We start from the raw sequence: 24696 nt of genomic DNA on the forward strand, positions 1-24696 counted from the left end.
TCAGTTCATTCTCCTAAAGAGAAATTGGAGGCCATTATGAGTGGACAAGGCTGGCATTTTGGGGATAATATAAATCTGTTTTCTTGAGGTCTGTTCTCCATTCTGACTCCTTTTTGTCTGATAGCAAGAACAATACTTTCTGTGACAAAATCAGTACATTGTTTTCTTTAGCAAGTTGCAATATTTGAAAGGAGGATTGATCTAGAGGCCAAAACCTTTGACCTCTTTTTTCCATAGGTCATAAACGTGACCTGCAGCAGGCAGACCAAGACACTGCCCTTGCCCAGGCACAACCTCCAGTTATTTGGTCCAACAGGTGAATGCCAGAAATTGCTGGCCTGCCTATTGGAAATGGAATTGCCACCTTTACTGGAGGTCTCAAGTGATGCCCAAACTTAGATTGCACAAATATTATTTGTAATAATATTTTAAAACTAGCAATTACTGTGGTTCTTTAAGGAGAATATCTACAAAATTGACTGAATCCTTTAGATTTCATCCAAATATCTCGCACTATATTTATATTGGGTGCAATGTAATTAAACAGCAATGTCCTGCACTACTTCCTGCAAGGGATCTGTCACTGACAGTTATACTGAAATTGCCAGGCAGTGGATTGTTTCTGCCAAGTGGGGTAAGTGTTTTAAGATCAGACAAAACACAGAGAAACTCTTCATAGCATAGGGATTCACACTCTGTTCCCTGTCATGTGCCCCCACCCTAGCTTGCCATTCTCTCCAGAAAATGCTGAACCCCTAGACTTCCATAACAAAATCCCTGAGATGATTTGACACAGTGCTGCGGCCTCACACACCTGTAATGAGTAGGGCATATTGAAGGCCATTAAGAGGCTCCACAAAATCCCACTGGGGAGGATCATTTTTAAAATATTGCTTCGAGACATTGTGTCATCAATGTAATAGAATTCCCGAAAGGAGAAGCAGCCAGGACACAAGGCAAAACACAGAGACTCTGGAAGGCAGGCAGGACTGGAAAAGTTCCACCACAACTAGTGAGGAGGGACTGGAGGTTCATATCCACATCCACCGTATTCTCCTTAAGCAATTATATAAAATGTCATTTACTTCCTATTGGGTGTGAATTTTATTGCCGTTATCAGCAAAATCCTTTGATGTCTTCATAGTGACCAACTTAAAGAACCCTGTCCAGTGTTAGTATAAAAGGATACTTGCCCCAAGATCCCATCTTTTAGAGCCAAGAGCTTTGTGCATGGGGTTAGCAAAGCCAGATACACAGCCCCCTCAGAGAGCTCTGTCTTAATGAGGTTTCCAGAAATGTGGACAGAGCAGAGGTCAGCAAACTATGGCCCATGGGCCAAATCTGTCTTTAACAAAGTTTTATTGGAACATAGCTGTAGCTGTACTCATTTGTTTACGTATTGTCTGTAGCTGTCTTTTCGCTACAATGGCAGAGTTGAGAGGTTGCCACAGAGACCTTATGACTCACAAGGCTGAAAATATTTCCATTTGGTCCTTTATGGAAAATGTTTGCTTTTCTGAAAAGAAAGGCATAGACTGAAATATCACTGAACTATCACGAAGCAGCAGCTGGGCACCTACAACTAGACCCGTAAACATTGATCTATTCATTCTTTTTGTTCATTTGCAAACAATTATTGAGCACCTCCTATGTGGCAGGCACTATTTTGGGATGCTTAGGTTTGCAAAAAGTTAGATGAGAATGTCTATCTTCATGGAGCTTACTATCTAGTGCAGGAGAGACAAACCCTAAACAAAAACGATAATAAATAATTATATTATATTATAGAAAGTAATAAGTGCTATAGAAAAATTAGAGCAGGGATGCCTAGGTGGGAGGGCCTTGGAAGGGGTTGCAATTTGTGGGAGTCAAAGGAAACCTCTTTGAGGAGGTGGCATCTGAATGAAGATGAGAAGCATAAGGGAGTGAGTTCCTTGGGCCTGGAAGAAGAATGTTTCAGGCCAGAGAACAGCAAGCAGGAAGGTTTTGGGCAATCTCTACAGGGTCCCACCTTAGCCACCAGCTCAGCACCACAGGTTGGTTTTCAAGCTGAATGAAAATAATCTCAGAAGGTATTTTTCCCTCTGATATGGCTTGTCTGTGTCCCCACCCAAATCTCACTTTGAATTGTAATAATCTTCATGGTCAAGGGTGGGACCAAGTGGAGATAATTGACTCATGGGGGCGGTTTCCCCATACTGTTCTCATTGTAGTGAATAAGTCTTATGAGATCTGATGGTTTTATAAAAAGGAATTCCCCTGTACAAGTTCTGTTGCCTGCCACCATGTGAGTTGTGCCTTTGCTTCTCCTTTGCCTTCCTCCATGATTATAAGGCCTCCCCAGCAATGTAGAACTGTGAGTCCATTAAACCTCTTTCCTTTACAAATTACCCATCTTAGGCAGGTCTTTATTAGCAGTGTGAGAACAGATTAATACACTGCCACCCCAGCAAATTCTAACAACTCCTGCAGATTTTCCAAGGATTCCATTCAATTCCTACAGATTTTGATGCAATAAACCTGTGGCAGGGACTAGAAATTTGTATTTTGTGAAACAGGAGAGTATTTTAGGTTTTCCAGGTGCCTCTGTTTAGGAACCACTGATCTAAATCAAAATAAGAATGCCCTCCAAATATGCTGAGAGTCATTCAGCGTCTACTTAAACACTTCTAGTAATGGGAAGCTATTAACTCTTTTAGAGAGTTAACTTCATAAAATATTTATAACATTTAATTAATTTATTCATTTATTCAACAAAAATGTGTAGCCCTCTTACTATGAGTCAGGTATTGGAAATGCACAAACACATGTTCTGTGCTTTCATTGTTTTTCACTTGTTTGTTTCTGATGGCAAAATGTATATGTTTTCATTTTAGACAGATTGAGAAAAAATAGTAAAACACATAAGAAAAAAATTAGCTCTTTATTTTACAGATGGCAATGTTAATACTTTGGCTTATTTTAATTTTTTTCTCTCTACATTTAAAAGATTGGAATCTCTTTTTCTACTAATAATGTATTATGAATATTTCTGTCTCTACAAAACATTTTTCTCCTCTGTGCTTTTTAAGAAACATTGTATCCCATATGTTATATGTTTCGTGTGTGTGTGTGTGTGTGTGTGTGTGTGTGTGTATGTGTGTATAATGGCTAGATTATTTCAAAATACTCACCCCCTACAAAAAATGCTGCAATTAATTTTCTTACAGACTTTCTCCAGCATTTCTAATTATTCATGTCAATGTACGTGGAATTTCTAGACTAAAGGATATAGGCTTTTAATGTTTTAAAAATATTTTTTAAAATTGCTTCTCTAGAAAGAACTCCAATTTCCATCCCCATTTCAATTATATGAAAATATCCATGTCTTCATACCGTTAGCAATTCTGATTTTTCATTCTTTTGATTAAAAAAGCTACAATTTTTGAAATGTTCTTTCTTGAACTGAGTTGACATTTGCCTATCCAAATCTTCAATCTATTGATCAGACTTTCCTTCACTGGAGATTTGTGAGATAAGCTCAATTCCTCTTCTTTAAAATGTAATTTCAGATATTTGAAAATAATTATCATGCCTCCACTGTGCTCTGTCTCCAGTTATAGTATTTTTTTTTTTTTTGCTCTAATAATTACTCCTCCTATAATCTAGTTTCTAGTCTCTTCACAGTTCTGGTATCACTGTTCTTGATAAGCCTCAGTTAATCTGGACTGCTATATGTGTGAGTGTGTGACATACACACGTATGTATATGTGAATATTTATTCACACGTCTATAGACTGACTGTTTGTCCACCTCCCACTCCCCAAATTCATATGTTGAAACCTAATCGCCAATGTGATGGCATGAATAGATGGGGGCTTTGGGAGGTAATCAGGTCATAAGGGTGGAGCCCTCATAAATGGCATTAGTTCCTTTATAAAAGAGACCCCAGAAAGCTCCCTCTCCCTTTTCACCACATGAGGAATGTCTGTACACCAGGAAGTGGGCTCTCACCAGACATGGAAACTGAAGATGTTTTGATCTTGGGTTTCCCAGCCACAGAACTGCGAGAAATAAATGACTGTTGTTCATAAGCCACCCAGTCTACAGAACTTTGTTATGTAAGTCTAAATGGACTACCACAAGGATTAAACCAAGGACTGCCACTGTACGAGCACTGTCTTCTTTGTTTCGAACATGATACTGCTACTGGTGTGAGCTAAGTAGGCATTAGTTTTTCTTGGCAACCATGCCACCCCATTGGCTCATAAAGAGACTGATATCAACCAAAATTCCCAAGCATTTTATAAACAATCTCATAGTGATATCAGGTATCCACTGTACTTCACTGACTCAGTTGCTTTCTGAGGCCCAAGTGCATGACTTTAATAGGAATCAATACAATCTTTAATTCTAGTTTGTCAAATTCTTTTTGAAAACTGATTTTATCACCAGATGTGTATTTAATACAAACTTGACAAGGACATATCTTGACTTGTAGTAATTAAGAAAAATACTGGATGACATCTATTGCAGACATCTTGTTCCACCCTACTTGTCTGTTATTGATCCATTATCAACAGACAACATGTGTGCATGTGTGTATAGATATACAGGGAAACTGTAAAACAAATCACAAAGTATTTTCAACTTGCTGATATCAAAATATATTCTTTGTATGGTATTTTTCTGACCTCCTTGCCTGTATTTTTTTGTAATGAAAATTAGCTTAGCATGATTGGTTGATTGTCTATGTTGGCTCTTTGGCTTCAGAATATAGCCAGGGTCAACATCAAGCTCAGCTGTATGTAGTCACTAGTTCCTAACTGTATTTCTCTATTTTAAAATGTATTTCATCTACTAGAACACCTTGCTTTTAGAGCAATGTAAGCATGTGTTCATAAGTTGGCCTTGTATATAAGTCATTTGGGTCTAATGACTTCTATTCATTTCAAACAGAGAGATGTTACTTAACTATCTTCTACCATCTTTACTTCTGGTTCCCTGATAATTGTGCTTGTTACCTACATTTTCCAGTTTTAAAATCATTATGATAGAAGTAGAAGATGGAAAAGGTGATCTTAGATAGGAGTCAAGTTCTCATGCTTTTGCATTATTTGTTAATGATGTTTTATTTATCTGAATTCTTGAATTTAAGCCTTTCTCAATCTTAATATTATGGCTATATTTTTAATAACCCAGTGTATTGCTCTTGACACTTTTACTACATCTGTTTTTCAACTTAGAATTTACCCTCATATATGAAATCAATTGTCCTTATCATAACTGACCTATACATTTAAAATAGTTCAGTGATTACAAAAATAGTTTCTCCCTAGTGGTATTTAATATAATCAGATCATTAATAGCATGGGCTTATGTCCTCACATGTATGCTGCTTTTAAGTTTTCAAAGCATTTTATACATTTTTAATCTTAAGAACTAGACTCAGTCATAAGATTAGATTTGATCATAAATCTAAGTTACTTCCTGGCTCATGTAATGTGAGGTGATGCTGAGTAAGGTAGAGATAACTTCATTTTCTTAAGAGCAGTGTGTGTGTGTGTGTGTGTGTGTGTGTTTGTGTTTTATACATATATATGTTTATGTGAATATATATCTACATGTTGTACTCCTTATTTAAGAATTTCCACACTATATAAAATAAATATAGAACAAAAACTAATTGGCATCTAACTAAATACAGAGAGGGGAATGCAACAATTTCAATGTGAGGGTCATATTAAAATAAAACAAGAATGTAATCTTAGATTATAGTCTTTTTTGAGGGTGACTAACCATATCCATTTGCCTGAGAACTGGAGGATTTCCCAAGATGCAGAACTTTCAGTGCTCAAACTGGGAAATTCCTGGGCAAATTGGGATGAGTTGGTCATCTTATCTTTCTCCTAATTCTTTCCAGATGACACCTCCCCCTGCTGTTTTATTTTATTTTATTTTATTTTATTTTATTTTATTTTATTTTATTTTATTTATTTTAAACCTGGAATGGTTGACCACCTTCCAATTCTAACACAACTAGCTTTTCTTTGGCCAATTTCGTTTTCTTCTGTCTTTTAGGTACTATTTCTTGTTAGTCTACAGACTATTATTTCCTTCTTAAAACTACCCTCCCTTCCATCTCTCTCTCTCTCTCTCTCTCTCTCTCTCTCTCTGTCTCTCTCTCACCCACCTCTCTTACTTGCTGTCTTACCTTATGAGAGAGCAGCTAGGGCCACACAGTTTCTTCTTAATGCTCTCGTTTCAATGTTTAGTTTATGACCATGAAATGATCATTAATACCTCCGGATAATTTGCATTTCTATTTTCATTGGGAAATTCCTCTTATCTCTATACCAATGGCCTATACTTTTGTGATTTGAAGTTCAAGTTGAAGCAGCTTAGTTTTATGACACACTTTTGAAGACCTGAAATAACAGAATACTGGAGTTCCCTGGAAGTAGCAACATGGTCTTGATGCTTATGTCCCCATCTGGTAACAAAGAGACTGATCTTTGATCAGATTGACAGAGCCCAGGTGCACACAGGATCCAGTTATGTAAGTGTTGACTCTATTCGTTCCTACCTGTCATTGTATATAATGATCAAGGGTTGCAAATTGGGGTATTGTATAGCAAAAGTGGTCCACAAGATGATCATATCACACAATCTTTACAACTCAGAAGGGACTTTTGCAATGATCAGGTGTAACTTACTCATTTTCCACTTGAAGAAACTGAGATCCATTCAAGACATTAAGAGAGTTCCATAATATGACAAATCCGATTAGTGGCAGAACTGGGATCTCCATTACTCAGAACCCATAGCCTTGTTCTCCACTCTATGCTGTTGAGAAAAATGGTGGGAAGGAAATGAAGCAATACAGGAGACAATTGTTTATGATCCAGCCTCCTCATGGCCATCTCTGCTGGAAACAGGCTTGAAACAACTTTGTAAAGTACTGTATCTCCTCTGCTTGATTTCTTTTTGGCCACCTTGAAGTCCGAGATGCTTACAAGGAACCAACGTTGGGGTCACTGGCTTTCATATTTTGTTGTTGCTCATTATAGCCCAGAGTTGGCCCCTAATCCATGCCTTACTCCTCTCCTCTTCATTCTTTAATATTAAATTCTTAATTTCTGGAACTCCCATCTCAACTAGGCTTAGTGACTGCCTAGAATATTTACCTAATTATCCAATGACAAGCAGAAGATGGCTGATGTGGGAGCGGTCACCCTCAGATAAGCAGGAGTCCCTCCCTATATGCTTTTGACTTTATTCCTTGCTTTCAACCTGAATCACCATGTAACTTATTATCACTGTTTGGCACAAAGGCTCTCTGTAACTAGTAATCACTACTATTGTTGAACACATATGCTCTTAAAGCTCAACTCCTATAATGTTTGCCTTTTTTTCATGTCTTTCTTACCCAGAGAAAATTACATATCTTCTTTAAAACAGCCATTTGGGAAAAAAAAGTATGCTCTAAAGCCTTATAAATAAGATAAAAACATGAATTAATAATTATTTTTAAATTTACTTTTTATTTCAGAACAAGTATAAAATTACAAAAAAGCTGTAAAAATATCACATAGAAGTTTCTAATACTTTTTATACCATTTACTCTAATGTGAACATCTTATATAACCATGGTGCATTTGTCAAAACTAAGAAATGAATGTCTGGAGATACTATTGACTAAATTGCAGACTTTATTTGTATTTCACCAGTTTTCTATTGATGGCCTTTTTCCATCCAGGATTCAACTGATGGTACTGCATTGCAGCATGTCTTCATGCTCTCTGTCAATCTGTGACAATTTCAATTTCTCTTAATTCTCATAATCTTGACAGTTTTGAAGAACCCTGATCAAGCATTTTGTAGAATGCCCTTTGCTTAGTCTGTTTGGGTTTCTATAGCAGAATACCATAGCATGGGTGGCTTAAACAATGAACACTTATTTCTGGAGGCTGGGAAGTCCAAGATCAAGGTATCAGCAAATTTGCTGTCTGGTGAGGGTCTGCTTCCTGGTTTGCAGATGACCATTTTCTCATTGTATCCTTACATGAATAAGAGAAAAGAATATCTCTTTAGTGTCTCTTATACGAACACTAATCTCATGCACGAGGGTTCCATCCTTATGTAGCCTGTAATTAACCCCCAAAGATCCCACCACCAAAACCATCACATTAGGGGTTAGGATTTTAACATATAAATTTCATGGGGATGCAAACATTCAGGCCACAGCATCTCTAATGTGGGTTTAGCAGATATTTTTCCCATGGTCAGACTGGGTTGAGGTTTAGGGGAAAATGTCATGAAGGTGAGGTGTCCTTCTCGTCACATCATTTCAGGGAGTATGATGTCAAGTTTAATTACTTGGCTAAGTTAGTGTTTACCAAGTTCCTTCTCTGTAAATTTACTATCTTTTCCCTTTCTATGCTCTATTCTTCAAAGTGAGTCACAAAGTCCAGCCCACACTCAGGGGAGGGAGAATTAAGCTATAACCTAGAATCTTTTCACCTATTTCATCTCTGCCTGTAAGGTTGTTTCCTTTTGGATTCTAGGCAGCTCCACCACTAGATGGACCACATTTATTTTAAGTTTTCTACTCCTTTTCGATGCACTTCCCTTTTTCCCTTTTCTTGAGACCAACTCTCTAAAACTTTCCAGTTTTCATCTGTTCAGCATCTATTCTCAGCAGCATTCATCTGATTTTGGCTTCCTCTGATGAAACTCGGCATGGCATAGCACAACTACTTTACTTTTCTAGTTCCCCAAATTTTGAGTTGAAAGATGAGGTGTGTTGGGTTAGAAAATTATTGATGAAGAAACAAGGAGTCTAAGTCAGATTTAATAGATAAAGAGGTAACTCTCTTCACGAGTTAACAACTGATTTCATGGACTAACTACCCCATGAATGTTGCGATGTGAGGATTGGAAAGAGAATCTAGGGAGATACAGAGCTTCTTAGGGGAGCAGACCCCTCTTTATTGATCTTTTTACATTCATCTCCTAAATTGTTACATGGCACTAAGTACATATCCAGTATGTGTGTGTTATTTATTGAGATGCTTTTGCCATTACGTTCAATGGCAAAAACCGCAATTACTTTTGCACCAACCTAATATATAGCTGTAGATTGAAATACACACATTTCTATATAATAGGCACTCAGAAAAAGCAGCGCACTAGGAAAAACAAAGCTTTTGCAGCTGGACTTCCTGGAAGATGGTGTAATTTAGACTTTGGATTTGAATCCCAGCTCAGCCCCTTACTAGCTGTGTGATCATGGGCAAGATATTTACCCTCCTTGTGCTCATCTGTAAAGTATATATATTATGAACACCTATGATATAGAGAAATGAGAAATAAGAGAATTAGTCTAGGTAAAGCACTTAGCAGAGTAGAATGCTAGTACATAAATATTTAATATTAATTTTAATACTGTTATTATTCATGATGCTTTAGGCATGGAGTAAGCCACAAGTTATTTTATAAAGTAAAAATACTGCACAACAAAAATACTAGAGCAATTCACTCAACACATTAACTGCAAAATATTAAATGGTTCCTATGTAGTAAATAACTCCATTTATCTCTTTTAAAACAAAGTTATACATTTGCCTCTATCTTTTGTGCTAAATTTTCTTACAGTTTGGGTTCATTAATTTAAAATATTTTACATTAAGATGTCTTTATTTAAAATATTTTAAATAAAGTTGTATGACTAAATATGAAAAGATGATCATTCCCACAAATTTTGGCTTTCTTTCCCTTGATAAGTGGTTTCTAAGATGACTTCTGACATAGGCGTCCTGGACTTTGGGTATCCAGAGCAAGGCATAGGTCCTTTCTCTGACTCTGAGTTTAAGTTATGCAGATGACCTTGGCAGCATCTGAATATTTATCAATGGTGATCTTTATATAGGCATTCATTTTGGATATTCTAAAACAGAGATTAATTAACACATACATCTTTACCAATTAGGCTTTTTCCTCATTGGTAAATATGGTCATGAATTTTTGTAGACATAGTTTTGAGATTAGCTATGGACAACTCTTCCACCAAGTAATTTAGTTAGTGAGTTTAAAATATTGTGTGTGCCTACAAGTAGGTGATCCAAAAGAACTGCTGAGCTGGTTTACTGTGTATTAGCCTTCATTATGCAAATAACTGTCCCAAGGGAGCCATCCCAAAGACTATTAGCCTCTTTCACCTTTAATAACCTGAGATCTCCCATTCGTGATGTGTGCAGATGAAAATATGTTCTGCCTGTGGGTAAAGGTGTTATTAATGCATAATTCTTTAGCTTCCTTCCCTCTACACTGGAATTCTATTTTGGCAAACCTCTTGGGTTTGGTTGTCAGAGAGATAAAAGCTTGTGAACACTGCAGTAGAATCTTGAGTGAATCTTGGTAAATTTAGAGAGCCAGGTTACTCTTTTTGGACTACTCTTTATCTGTGAGTAATACTGCATCTTCCCTTCACTGTTGTACAGCTGATTGTGTTGCACATGCTCTAACTGGCTTTCCCTGGGCTGGAAACCTTTTAAATGTGACCCTTTGTTCTCATCTATAGATGAGCTGAAATTGCCAGTTACATTTCAGGTACAGCCTCTGCTGCAGGAACAGCTGATTCACTGGTAATGTTAGTCTTATGCAGGTAGTGACTTTATCTGGAAGAAAGTCGGCTAAGGTCTTGGAAGGCTCAGAGGAAGTATTACCATTTGGTGGCTAGAACGGTCACTGTCACTTCCAAAAACAAAATCTAACATTACAGCCTTCTAAAAAGGTACTCGCTTGATGCAGGTGTCTGCTGACATGCCTTGTGTGACATGAAGAGGGTGTGATAGTTCACAGGTCTGAAATAGTTACCACGGGTATTCTCAGAAGTTAATCATCAGTAACTTCAACCTTGGAAAGGTTTGAGAAGACTACCAGAGTAAGTGTTAAACCTGATAGGCAGGATTTTCCAGCTTTGCTGATGTCATTTAATTAGGGTCCTACAAACAAAATAAATAAAATATATATTTGTTCCTACATTCTTTCTGCCACCCAGATTTCTGTGAGGTATTCCCTGTCTCAAGGAGACTTTGGGGCTTAGAAGGCAGACTGCTTTTCTTGGAATGGCCCATCAAGAGAGAGAGCCTCCTTATTAACCCCTAGTGTACTTGAAAACTTCATAACTTGACTTCATCTCATGTCTGAGGCAAGATATGTCTGAGCAGTTACCGGAAGATGGGCTAGTTTTGCATGCCCCAGGCACTTAAAAATATCAGCGTAGCACCGTGGCTTATGCCTGCAGTCTCAGCATTTGGGGAGGCTGAGGTGTGAGGATTGCTTCAGTCCAGGAGTTTGAGACCAGCCTGGGCAACATAGCAAGACCATCTCTAAAAAATAAATAAATAAATAAATAAATTAAAAAATATAAATTAGCTGGCCATGGTGGCACATGCTTGTAGTCCCAGCTGAGGGAGGCTGAGGTGGAAGGATCACTTGAATCCAGGAGGTAGAGGCTGCAGTGAGCTGTGATCAGGCTGCTGCACTCAGCCTGGGCAGCAGAGCAAAACCCTGTCTCAAAAAAAATAATAAGTCAAAAAGCAAAGAAAAAATTATATTAAAAATCAATCTACCATTTTGGGGAAAGAGGCGGTTGAATTTGTTACTTTTATTATCTATTTTAAATAATTTGTTTAATTTTATTTGAAGATTTTCTTATCTTTTCTTTTTCGTATATATGCTACATCACCTTCTTCCTTACCTCTCCACAGATCTGTCCTCTGTAAAACACTGTGCTCATGATTTTTTAGATATTAAAGCATATTTCACATTTTTCTTTGTTCTACATTGCTGAAGTCTGACCTCCCTTCACTTGACTCTCTTCATGGCACTTGGCTTTATTGATTTTTTTCCTTACTTTTTAAAAAATTCTCTTGTTTGTGGTTTATCTTTAAGTGAGATCTATCTGTTTACTTTTTATTCTCAGTCTTTAAGACCCTTATTTCTTCTCTCTTCTGATGTTTTTCATGTCCTGGAACATATTTGTTTGGCCAAACCTGTTCACATAACATCTTTAATTCTCTTCAGGGTTCTATAGCAACATGATCTCTTTAACCTTAGCAGTTCTTCTTCATAGATGAGAAACTGAGGCACAGCTAGGTCAGACAATGTTTCTAAAATCATACTGTGGAGTACTAGAAGAGTGAGAATTGTTTTTTGATTTCCAAGAGAAATTATTAACCAGTGGATACCCCACTATATGGGCATCACCTGGGAACTGGTGAGATATTCATAATCTCAGGTCCTGCCCCAAGCCTACCAAATCAGCATCTGCATTTTATCAAGATCCCACATGATTCAAAGACACATTAACATTTGAGCAGTCCTGAACTAGACCTCTCTGTTTTGGAGGACTGCTCTCTGAAAGAAACTGCATAACAATGGTAAATTTCCTTTGCATTTATGAGGTTTCTCCTGAGTCCTAGCTGCCCTGATTGAAGATGAGAAGACAGACAGAAACCTAGGTCTTGGTTTCAGTATCTGTCTGATCTGTATTCTGCAATTTAGATTTCAGTTAAGTTGCACTTGTGGAGAATTTCAAGTAGCAAATGACGAAGCAAGTGGAGCACTCTTTTCTAGGCAATTAGTTTTCTCTGTGCTTATTTATTTGTGGTTCGCTGATTCAATTTAGAATCCTCAAACTTCTGGGTGACTATAGGGGCATCATAGCTTTAACACAGCATTTAGTTGACATCTGTTTCTTTGACTATATTGTCTACAATTTCCCGAGCACAGAGTAAAATATATCCAAGTGCTTCATGGGATATTTCAATATCCATAATGATTTTTATTATTTTCCCCAAAATGTAATAAAAGAGACGTTATCTCCTTCATTCTCTTGACTGGATTTTAAATTTTGAGAAGGGGAACAGTATATGCATTTGACTGCCAGAGATGTAAAGTAAAATCTATTTGATATCAGAAGTAACACAAATCACTGGCATAGAAAACAGTTGTGAATATTTTCTCATGAGGAGAAAGTATTGTCAGATTTAACCACTATCATATCAGTTCAAGTAGAAGGTGGACATCCCAGTGTAGGATTTCACAGGACAAGAGTGGAGTAATCATGAAAAATGGGTGGAAAAGCAATTTCCAGCTGGAAAAGAAGAAAGAAAACAAAGGTAGATCTTGAGGGATTTTTAAAAAAAAAAACACTTTTGAATATTTTTGTCTTTTAAAAAATTTTTCGGCCGGGCGCGGTGGCTCACGCCTGTAATCCCAGCACTTTGGGAGGCCGAGGCGGGTGGATCACGAGGTCAGGAGATCGAGACCATCCTGGCTAACAAGGTGAAACCCCGTCTCTACTAAAAATACAAAAAATTAGCCGGGCGCAGTGGCGGGCGCCTGTAGTCCCAGCTACTCGGGAGGCTGAGGCAGGAGAATGGCGTGAACCCGGGAAGCAGAGCTTGCAGTGAGCCGAGATTGCGCCACTGCAGTCCGCAGTCCGGCCTGGGCGACAGAGCGAGACTCCGTCTCAAAAAAAAAGAAAAAAACAAACAAACAAAAAAAAATTTTCATTTCCAAATAAACAACCTTTTGATTTGAAAGACTATCTAGAAGGCATTGTAATTTGAGGCTGAATCCTGCGAAATCATGCATATCTCAGAGGTTTGAGATGGAATTTACTTATGTTCCTGAATGTTTGTACCCACTGAGAGCAGTCTGTCCAAAGTTTACATGTGTTCAAGAGGATATGTGGCAATCCAGCAATATTCTGCAGACAGGAAGCCTCTGTCCAACATCATGATTTGAACCCAGAATCACTGTCCCTTTTTCTTTTCTGCCTTTTTTTTTTTTTTTTTTTGGAGACAGTCTTTCTCTGTTGCCGAGGCTGGAGTGTAATGGCGCGATGCCGGCTCACTGCAACCTCTGCCTCCCAGGTTCAAGTGATTCTCCTGCCTCAGCTTGCTGAGTAGCTGGGACTACAGGTGAGTGCCACCACAACGGGCTAATTTTCATATTCTTAGTAGAGATGGGGTTTCACCATGTTGGCCAGGCTGGTCTTGAACTCCTGACCTCAAGTGATCTGCCTGCCTTGGCTTCTGAAAGTACTGGGATTACAGGCATGAACTGCCACACCTTGCCTCACTGTTGCATTTTTAGTTATATGTGTGTGTGTGTGTGTGTGTGTGTGTGTGTGTGTGTGTGTGTGTGTATCTATATTTTTTTAGTAGAGATAGGGTTTCACCATGTTGGCCAGGCTGGTCTCGAACTCCCAACATCAGGTGATCTGCCCACCTCATCCTCCCAAAGTGCTGGGATTACAGGTGTGAACCACCACACCTGGCCACTGTTGCTTTTGCTAGACACTGTGGCAGGCCTCTGCAGCCTGATTTCCAGAAGCCCATCCCAAAATTAGGATAATTGGTAACATTATAACCTCTTTCACCCACAATTCACCAAATTCAACGCTTCTGTTTTTAATATAGTAGCAAGTCTGAATGGGACTAAAAGGCCTTTAGACAAAGGTTACAAGTAAAAAGTGCTCATCTTCAGAAATGTGCAGAAAAGACATCCAAACACCTGAAATAAAATACATCTTCTCCTTATTCACACACAGTGTTAACCCCCTTCACAAACTCATCGCAGATTAGAAAGCAGATGAGAAAAATAACGCAGCAATATCATGCCTGGCAGAATGGGAACAAGAAATGACGGTTAATGTGATTTTCCACCCCCATCCCTCGTGGACTCATTACCCATATGTCTACAACGAGGAACATAATAGTGACTCCAAAATGGCTTTAGATTCTGGCCATGAGCTGCGCTGGCAGCTGTCTTCATACACATTCCCACTTTTGTGACCTTTTGGAGGGAGACCTACTTCTACTCTCCCCATGTTTTCATCCCACTGCTGAAGATTTATTGCCTGGATCTGTTAAAATTCCTTACCAGTTATCCATGATGATAACCTCACAATTACAGAAAGTTATGCAACTTCTGGAAAGCAAGATAAAATGCATCTTTCTTCCTCTTCGCTATGCTGATGCATTTATCTTCCCTTCAATTCTGAAATTCCTAAACTGTAGGAGATAGCATGTTCTTTGACATTTGTGCTGATGCTGCTGTTAGCCCTGTCTTTGTAGTTTAGGAGGTGCAAATTGATGTGATTTGAGAGAAAAATTTGAAATTCCCTGGCTTCCACGCTAAATGTATGTACAACTTCTCATTTGAAATAGCGGGTTGTCTTAGTACCCAAAGTGAAATTTCTGTTGAAAATTCACAGTGATTCCCAGCAGTGTGCCAATTATGAGCCTTCTATAGTTTACACTTGAGATAACCTAGAATATGTTTGTTTTGTTATTCTAATTTCCTTCCTTCTTAGAATTACCTGCTACTGACTCTTGAAAATTAAGAACATACCATAACATGTGCTTAGAATTGTAGCTACATTGCGAAGCAGTTCCAGTGCACTTTTAAGGCATCTCAGGCAAAACACATTGTAGAAGACTTCAAGTTTGTATCTTCCATGTATTATTTTTCCATGCACCTTTGATATCTATTCCTTGAAAGAGAAGTAATGGAAAATGATAGGATTCTTAAATAGGATTGACTCATTGGCATTGAGCATAGGATGTGGCTCTTGGCTATGTCTGTGAAAAGTTTGTGTGAAGAGTGGCCTATGTCCCTCCCACCTACTCTGCCATTGCTTGAAGTGCCGTTTCCATCAGCATCTCAAGGTCCTGGATTTCTGTGAGATAAATGTTTCATGCTTACTGAGCTCTAATGTGGTGGAGATGTTTAAAGGCTGAATTCAGGTAAGAGTCGTAGAGTACACACATAGATGTTGTCCGTGCTGTGCCACAGTTGAGTATTGGTGGTTTCTTTCATTCATTTATTCATTCATTCATTCATTCATTCATTCATTCAACAAATACTGAGTGCCCGTTATACAATCCTTTTTCTGCCCTTGAAATACAGCACTGAACAGGAAAACTGCCCCTGCCCTTAGAAGGCTTACTTCCTAGTAGGGGAGTCAGAGAGTAAGCAAATAGATGTAGTGATGGGTGCTATGTGGAAAAACAAAAGCAGGTAAGGAGAAGAGGATGGAGGCTGTCTTAGTACGGTCAGGGAAATCTATTTGAAGAGTTGATATTTGAGCAGAGATCGGAATAAAAATTGCAAATGAGTGATAATGGACAAGAGATGTAGGTCTGGAAGAACATTCTAGTCATAGGAAGAAACGAGTATAAAAACCCTGGAGGCAGGACTGAATTAGATGGAGCAGACAGCCTATCTGTTCTACAATAGACAGAAATATGGCAATGACAGCCACATGTGGAATTACATTTTTTAATTAATCACATTAAAGAAGTGAAAATAAAATAAGATTCAAAAGTAAGAAACAAAGTAAAATTTAATTATATGGTTTTAACTTAAACATGTAATCAGTATAAAAATTATGTATGTAATAGTTTATTTTTATACTTTTATTCAAAATCAGGTATATTATACTTAAAGCACATCTCAATTTGGAAGCTAAATTTTGTTTTTGGTTTTTTTTTTGAGTTGGAGTCTTGCTCTGTGGCCCAGGCTGGAGTGCAGTGGCTTGATCTCTGCTCACTGCAAGCTCCGCCTCCTGGGTTCACACCATTCTCCTGCCTCAGCCTCCCGAGTAGCTGGGACTACAGGCACCCGCCACCATGCCCGGCTAATTTTTGTGTTTTTCTTAGAGATGGGGTTTCACCTTGTTAGCCAGGATGGTCTCGATCTCCTGACCTCATGATCCACCTGCGTCGGCCTCTCAAAGTGCTGGGATTACAGGCGTAAGCCACCGCGCCTGGCCAGAAACTAAATTTTTATAAAAATAATTGATCATGAAATCTATCATTGATAACATAGATTCATATATCTATGTCATCTGACCATATTTAAGAGTTTTCTGATAATTAAAAAGTACTGGTTTTTAAATTTTTCTTTTTTCTTTTTCTTTTTTTTTTTTTTGACAGGGTCTTGCTCTGTTGCCCAAGCTGGAGTGTAGTGGCACGATCTCAGTTCACTGCAAACTCTGCCTCCCGGATTCAAGCAATTCTCCCACCTCAGCCTCCTGAGTAGCTGGGATTACAGGTGCCCGCCACCACACCCAGCTAATTTTTGTATTTTTAGTAGAGATGGGGTTTCACCATGTTGGCCAGGCTGGTCTCGAACTCCTGACCTCAGGAGATGCACCCACCTTGGCCTCCCAAAGTGCTGGGATTACAAGCATGAGCCACAGTGCCTGGCCGTTTTTAAATTTAAATTTTTAAACATAAATTGAATAAAATAGGAAATTTGGCCCCTCAGTCTCACTACCCAGATTTCAAGTGCTCAGTAGGCACATGTGGCAGTGGCTGCTGCATTGGACATAATGAGGCCAGATTGTCTGGAAACGAAGAAAGCTGTTGGAGAGCTAGACTGGAACCAGATGACAGAGGACTCTGGAAGCCGTGGGAAAATGTTTGGATTTCATTTGGCTTGTGATAGAACGCTACTGAAGTTGAGTGGATAGGTGAGTGGCACGCTTTGATTTGTGCTTTAGAGAGATCTTCCTCTGGCTTTGGTAGGGGAGAGAATGGAGGGTAGAGACCTGATAGGAGACTGTTAGGTAGTTAAGTGAGAGATGAAGGTGCTGGTTTAAAACAGTTGTGCTGCAAGTGTGAGACATTGTTGGTTTCAGGGTATATCCGGAAGGTAGAGTTGATAGTACTTGCTGCTGTATTGTCTGCAGGACAGGCAGCAAAGAGGAATCAAAGGAAACTTCTAGGATTTCGAACTGACCAACTAGATAAACAATGGTACCACAGTTGATATGGAAATGACCAAGGTATAGACAGTTTTGGTGAAGAAAATTGGATTTGTGCAAATTAAATTTTATTTGTCTATTCGACTTCCAAATAGGTAGCTGAGTTTGGAATTCGGGGGAAAGCTTAAGGCTGTAGACTAAATGTGGCAGTTAGAGTATAGATGGTATCTAATGTCATCTGAATGAGGTAGTCAATGCACTGAGGGTACCTTGAGGAAAGGAGTCCGAAAAGTGAGTTTCAGGGCAATCTGAAATCTAAATGTTGGGAAGATGAGATGAAGCCAGAAAGTGACATTAAGATAGAGTGGCTGGGCCGGGTGCGGTGGCTCATGCCTGTAATCCCAGCACTTTGGGAGGCCGAGGCAGGCAGATCACAAGGTCAGGAGTTCGAGACCAGCCTGGCCAATATGACGAAACCCTATCTCTACTAAAAATACAAAAACTAGCTGGGCATGGTGGCGGGTGCCTGTAGTCCCAGCTACTCAGGAGGCTGAGGTAGGAGAATCACTTGAACCCAGGAGGCAGAGGTTGCAGCGAGCCGAGATTGCGCCACTGCACTCCGGCCTGGGTGACAGAGTGAGACTCAGTCTAAAATAAAATAAAATAAAATAAGAGTGGCTAGTGAGGTAGGAGGGAAATCAAGAGAGCCTGATATCTCAAAGCTAAGTTTATCAGTCTTGGCAAGTAAAAGTTTGTGTAGTCAAGAGAGAAAGAGTAGAGAGGATTTTTGATTTTTTTTGTTTTTGTGTTTTTTTTGAGAGGGAGTTTCACTCTGGCACCCAGGCTGGAGTGCAATGTCACGATCTTGGCTTACTGCAACCTCCACCTTCCAGGCTCAAGTGAGTCTCCTGCCTCAGCCTCCCGAGTAGCTGGGATTACAAGTGCCCACCACTACGCCTGGCTAAATTTTTGTATTTTTAGTAGAGATGGGGTTTCACCATATTGATCAGGCTGGTCTTGAACTCCTGACCTCAAGCGATCTGCCCACCTCAGCCTCCCAAAGAGCTAGAATTACAGGCACGAGCCACTGTGCCTGGCTGAGAAGAGAGTCTTATAAAGGAAATGTGATGGTGTGATCAGGGTATAGGGAAAAGCTCAAGGAAGAACTTCAGTTATTCAAGGGGTAAAAATGGGGTTACCAAGGCTAAGTCTAAAGGGATGAGAGAGACAGAGACAGAGAGAGAGAGAGAGAGAGAGAGAGAAAGCAAGAGAGAACTGTGGGGAGAGGTCACCTAAGAGAAAATATGCTCTTGGTTTAAAGAAGCCAATCCATAGCAATGCTGCAGGGAGTGAGCAAGGAATTGGTAATTCACCCTCCCTTTTCTTTCATCTTGCAATCTTTGGCCATTTGCTAAATTCAACCAGAAGACAGAAGGCAAGAGAGCCTTTTGACTTGGTGTGTACCAGTCAGTCTCCCAGGGCACAGTGCAAGATAGAGAAGGGTGAGTAGTGGATCTAGACGGGCAAATATCTGGTGGATATTCAGCTCACCAAGTGAAGAAAGCCATTAACAGGATAATAACTGAGAATTATATGAAGCAGAATCCACCCCCAGATTTTATTGCTTATATCTTTATTGAGGTGCTTAGCAAGAGACAAGAGATCCCAACTAGAGAATCTGCAATCATTGTCTACATACGTTAATTTATTTCTCTCTTCTGTCTTTTCTACTTCTTCATCTACGTAATTCCTCTTAGCTTTTCATATTCCTATCAGTCTCCTAACTACTTCTCTTTTTTCTTTTTTCTTGACTTTCTTCTCTCATTCCCTTTCTTTTTTCTCCCCTCTCACACACTTCTGTCCATTCTAGTCTTTTTCCCAATTTGTTTGTTGAAGTTGATCCATGGAAAGTACCTAAAACAGCTTAGAAACAAAATAATGTATAAATGTCATTCACATCAGCTCAGCCTATGAGAAAAAGAATCAGTATTTAAAAATTAAATGTGGTTGGAGAGTAGCCCTAACATATGTGTATTTTAGAACAGTAATTGTTCCCCCCCAGAAGAGTGGATGACTTATTTGAGCAAGAATAATTTGAGGCTAGAGCAATCTAAACTTTTTAGGTTATAGAAAGGATGTTCTATGGCAGTGAGCAAGCATTAGAGTCACCTGAAGGACTTATGAAAATGTAAGTTGTGGAATCCTACCCCCAGCATTTCTGATTCAGTAGGTATGGGATGAGGACCAAGAGTTTGTATTTGTAGCAAGTTTCTAGGTGCTGGTGCTGTTGCTTGTCTGGAAAGAACCACTGATATATTGAGATAGGAAATTACAGTTGATCCTTAAATGGGATTGGGAGTGGGAAGAGTAAACACAGGGCAAACAACTAGATACCTTAAGAGGGAAAACAATGGGTGGTACTTTGGTGATAAATTTGGTGACATTCAGAGGCACAGAGGTGTGGGGTGAAAAGCATCACCCAGATACTGCGGATTCCAGTAGAGTGGATATATCCCAAACAACTAACATCTCAGGAGAGATCAGTGCACTCAGGTAAACATATTTTGAATACCTATTACTTGCTTGTATTTTCCACTGCCTACTAGACATCTCTATTTGAATACTTCACAATCACGTTAAACTCAATCTGTCCAGAAGTCTTATTATCACATCTCCTTCATCACCAATCCTCTCCCATCTGTATTCGCTATCTGCATCAGTGACCCCACTAACAAAGTCACCATGCCAATAATCTGAGAGTCTTTGCCAGCTCCAATATTCCTTTTGTCTTCCTGTATAACTTACAAACCGATTTTTTGTTTCTCTGCTTCCCTAATAACTGAACTATCTTAGGCCAAACTCTTAACACTTCTCAGATAGAAATAGACTCCCGCATCTAATTTATTCCTGCATGAATTTGTCAACTGTGCTTTCAGGAATGTTATATTTTTTGTATTTTTCTGAAATACAGATCTCATCTCTTTACCTCTTTCTAAACCTCTCCTGTGTGGCTTCACATGGTGGACACAGCCTCCTGATAGGGCACCTACCTAGCTTCCTTTTCCGTTTCTTCTTGCCCCCTCCCTAAACTTATTTTCTAACAATAACAAGTGATCTGTGTTTCCCTAAGCACACCATAATTCACAGGCCTGTGTGATTGGCTCGGACTATCTTCTGCACTCTCGTTTCCCTTCTTATCTTCTTTCCCTTTCAAGCCCTATTAAGTCCAGTTCCTTGAGGAAATCTGTCTTATGCAAAAGCAACATTCCTCTTATGTGTTCCCTCTGGTCCTTAGGCAAACTTTTATTTTAGCCCTTAGTGTAATGGCGGTTATTACTGGTTTATGTGTCTGTAATAACTTTATAGGAACTCTGTTGCTTGAAGGGTGAAGCAGGTGTCTCTTAATCTTTGTATCTTGAGGGTCTGAAAACTTGGTATTGCATGAGTTGTAGAATTATTTCAGGACACTCAGCAAACTAGTTCTAGATTTGGGTTAAAGTAAGGATGAACTGGAAACTAAGAGGAAAAAAATGTTGAGGCAATCTGATCTTGTATGAACTGTGCCAAGCTCAACAGATGGTCAAAATCTGTGTAGAAAGGACCCTGACTGAGGCTAACCCATCCAGAAAACTTCTTGTGTGAAGGATGCTCTTTAACCACTCTCATTCCACTTTGTTCAACTTCCATCCTTTTGTGTAGCACCATAGTATATATTCTTCACTTGAACTAGATAAGTCTGTCATCTGTCTTCTTCACATCACTAATGATGGACTTCACTTCTTTTAAACATCGTTTTTCCAAGGTCTATAATAAACAGTTGACCTATATCACCTTATTTAACCCTTCCAACAACCAAGCCATTACACAAGAGGCAGCAAACCCCTCCAATTAATAGCATGGGTTCAAGCCAGCTTGCCATGTTCTTGGGAAGGTTATTTAACATCCTCGGGTTTTAGTTTTGGCATCTTTAAAATGAGGCTATAGTGCTTGCCTTATAAGATTGATATGTGCATTGCTGAGTCAATATTTATAACATATTTAAGACTGCCTAAAATATACCACGGGCTATGTAAGTGGTTATTAAATGGATTGTACAATTTTCTCTCCTGGATTTCTCCAGCTTCTCCATATTCCTTTCATCAAACCGAGTGTCTCCCCTCACAGTTTGTCTCATCAGTAATGCATTTTCAAAGGTGATGCAGCTTATCTGAAAATACGAGATTGAATATCAAAGGGACTGGGATCTGTTTCAGGGTCCGCTGCTGGTGCCTATGTCATCTTGGGCCCAATCATTGACCTTTTTGTCCTCAGATCGCTCATAATGTGTTGATAATACCACCACATTTGGTAGACTTCTGGGAAGGTCTAATGAGGTTGCATATGCATAAATATGTATAATGGTAAGCTATAAGAGGGTGGAGCAATGTTAGGTGAAACACAGTAGCAGCAGTAACGATAAACATAGCTGCTGTACTTGGCCCAGTCTTCAGATTACTCTGGTAACCTCATTTGGTGGGAGGCCCATACCTACTACTACTGTCTGACACTAGGCTAAGATGTCCCTAGAGCTACATCTAACATTCCTTCCTTTACCAAATATAAAGAAGTATAGACAATGAAGGTCTGGAATCTATTTAAGGTCTGGAATTCTTCAGTCATCTCCCTTTCATGATTAAAACACAGTCAAGTATTACATGACACACAAACTAGTAAGACCACATGTTACACGGCAGCTTTTGTCTGCATACACTTGACTCCTGGGAGCTTAGTAACTATATTGCCTCCCTTTTCTCTTTCCCATCCCACCCAGACCTAACTATTGCTTTTTTTCGTTGCTTAAAATGGCATCTCAGGACTGTAAATGATTCAAAGTTTTGTCTTCTAGGAATTGCTTTTTGCTAATCCCAGCTTTGCACAAAGAAATCATGAAAACAATTGGGTTCTTTGTAATCTCACCCAATGAATGCTCAATATTTATTTTAAAAATACTTCTTCCTATGATTTTGACAATTCATCAATAGTCCTATAATCCAAGTAATCTGAAATTTGAAAATTGTTATCTTGACAAATTGAAAATTTTCTTTTGAAAACAAGAAGCGGAATTTACTGTCATTTGTCAAGTGAGGATTTTCCTTTGACTTTAAAGATCACTCTAAGTATTTTTGCAACACTATGCAATTTGTGGTGAATCCTTCCATTTAAATAATATTGCAGTAAAAAGAGAAATGTCAGAGTCCAGAAGGAGAATGGCAGAGTATTACTCAAGACAATGTGCTATGGACTAACAGGTTTTGATTCTGAACACATCTAAGAGTGAGTTTCCAAAAAGTCTGGTATCCATTTTGATGATTATGATATACTTACAAATAAATCACAGTTGAGTTCATAGACTCAGATTATTTAGTGTAAAGAAATGAACACAGCAATATGTTTTCTGTGCCTTTCCAATTAGAGTTTAGATCAATTTATCTTTGTGACGATATTGCCTAGTTGAATTTTAAAAAATATATTATGACATGTTTTTGGAGTCAACTAGCTGGAACACAAGGTTTCTGAGGCTCAACATGCATTATTTATCCATTTATACTAATAAACCTTCATATCCCACATGTCCCCTGCTCAGATTTGAATGGAACCTCAAATGCACAACCTGTTTTAAATTTATGACACAACAATTGCTTATGACAAAGAAAAATGAATTTAAAAAATGCATCTATTTCCCCCAGAAGAAGACAAATGACACATCTTTTTTTTCTTTAAAGAAATGACATTCCTCTTTCTTTTTTAGAAGAAAAATTATTTATTAAAAAAATTTAAAGATGATAAAACATTAAAAAAGAAAGAGAAATTGATTTGAAGACGCAAGATGGGATTGAGTTGTAATATAAAAGTTGCTGGTCTTTTACTCCTGAGAGGCAGGACCAGTTGATTTATAATCACAATTTTGAGCTTGCTTTCCCCCTCCTCCTCTTCCTCTCCTTCCTCCTTCCTGCCTCTCCCTGTTGGGAAGGGAGTGTAGACATGAGGTGACATGTCTCTTTTGATTTACCATACTGTGTCTTCATTATGAGCGCTGGCGATCAGGCAGTAGTGTTTTCTAACTTCAAAGGCTTCAGCAGCCTGTGCAGCATGCAGGGGAACTGAGGTGCCAGGATACGGAGTAACAACAATATGGTGTCGTCATATTTTAGGAGTGTCAGCTTATTCTTTATTTGTGGCACATCAAAGTGAAAATGAGGACACAAGGAAGCCTTTCCTCTTTGTTATTCTCTTCTTCAGTGACAATAATGTCTTCCAACTCAATGTCCAGGCCAGAGTCCTAAAAAACTAGTTCTTTCGAATTTAATATTTCTCATGCTTAAAGAACTTTAGGGGGAAAAAAAGCTACCAATAATAAACTGGAACAGAAAAGCTGCATGCTTATTGAGAAACATATTTAGAGAATCCAAGAGCCTATTTAGGGTAATGTAAGTATTGCTAGGTATCAGTGAGGAATAACAAGGTAACAATAATAATATTATAGCAGCTAATATTTATTGAGTGTTTACAAATTACCAGACGTTGTTTTAATCATTCATATAGATATTGGAACTGTGGCTCAGAGAGCTTAAATAATTCAACTAATATACAATGTGGTGTGGAGCTTGGACTCCAACCCATTGGACTCAGAGCCCACTCACATGAATATCAATTATTTAGCCGAGTATCATCTGTATTAGGAGTTAGGTTTTCAATTCAGTTCTTGGGGCATGGGGCAAACATCAAAAATAGTCAAAAGATACTGTTAACTTGGCTATAAAATACAGCATACTTTTTTATGTCTGGGTGTATGGATACAACTGCCAAGTAATGCTTATAAAAATATTTAATAAATAAAAGAACACCATAGCAAAATGAAACTTTAGATTCCTTTAAGGTACAAAAAGGAG

The 24696-nt window shown here is 38.6% G+C and overlaps 1 long non-coding RNA gene across 1 annotated transcript in view; it reads left to right on the forward strand.

The window, feature by feature from the left end:
• LOC105373893 (uncharacterized) overlaps window positions 1-24696 on the forward strand; it is a 428255-nt gene that overhangs the window by 400272 nt on the left and 3287 nt on the right. The gene's annotated exons all lie outside the window — the stretch shown is intronic.

The sequence above is a fragment of the Homo sapiens genome, chromosome 2 (genome assembly GCF_000001405.40).
Source record: "Homo sapiens chromosome 2, GRCh38.p14 Primary Assembly".
Lineage (NCBI taxonomy): Eukaryota > Metazoa > Chordata > Mammalia > Primates > Hominidae > Homo > Homo sapiens.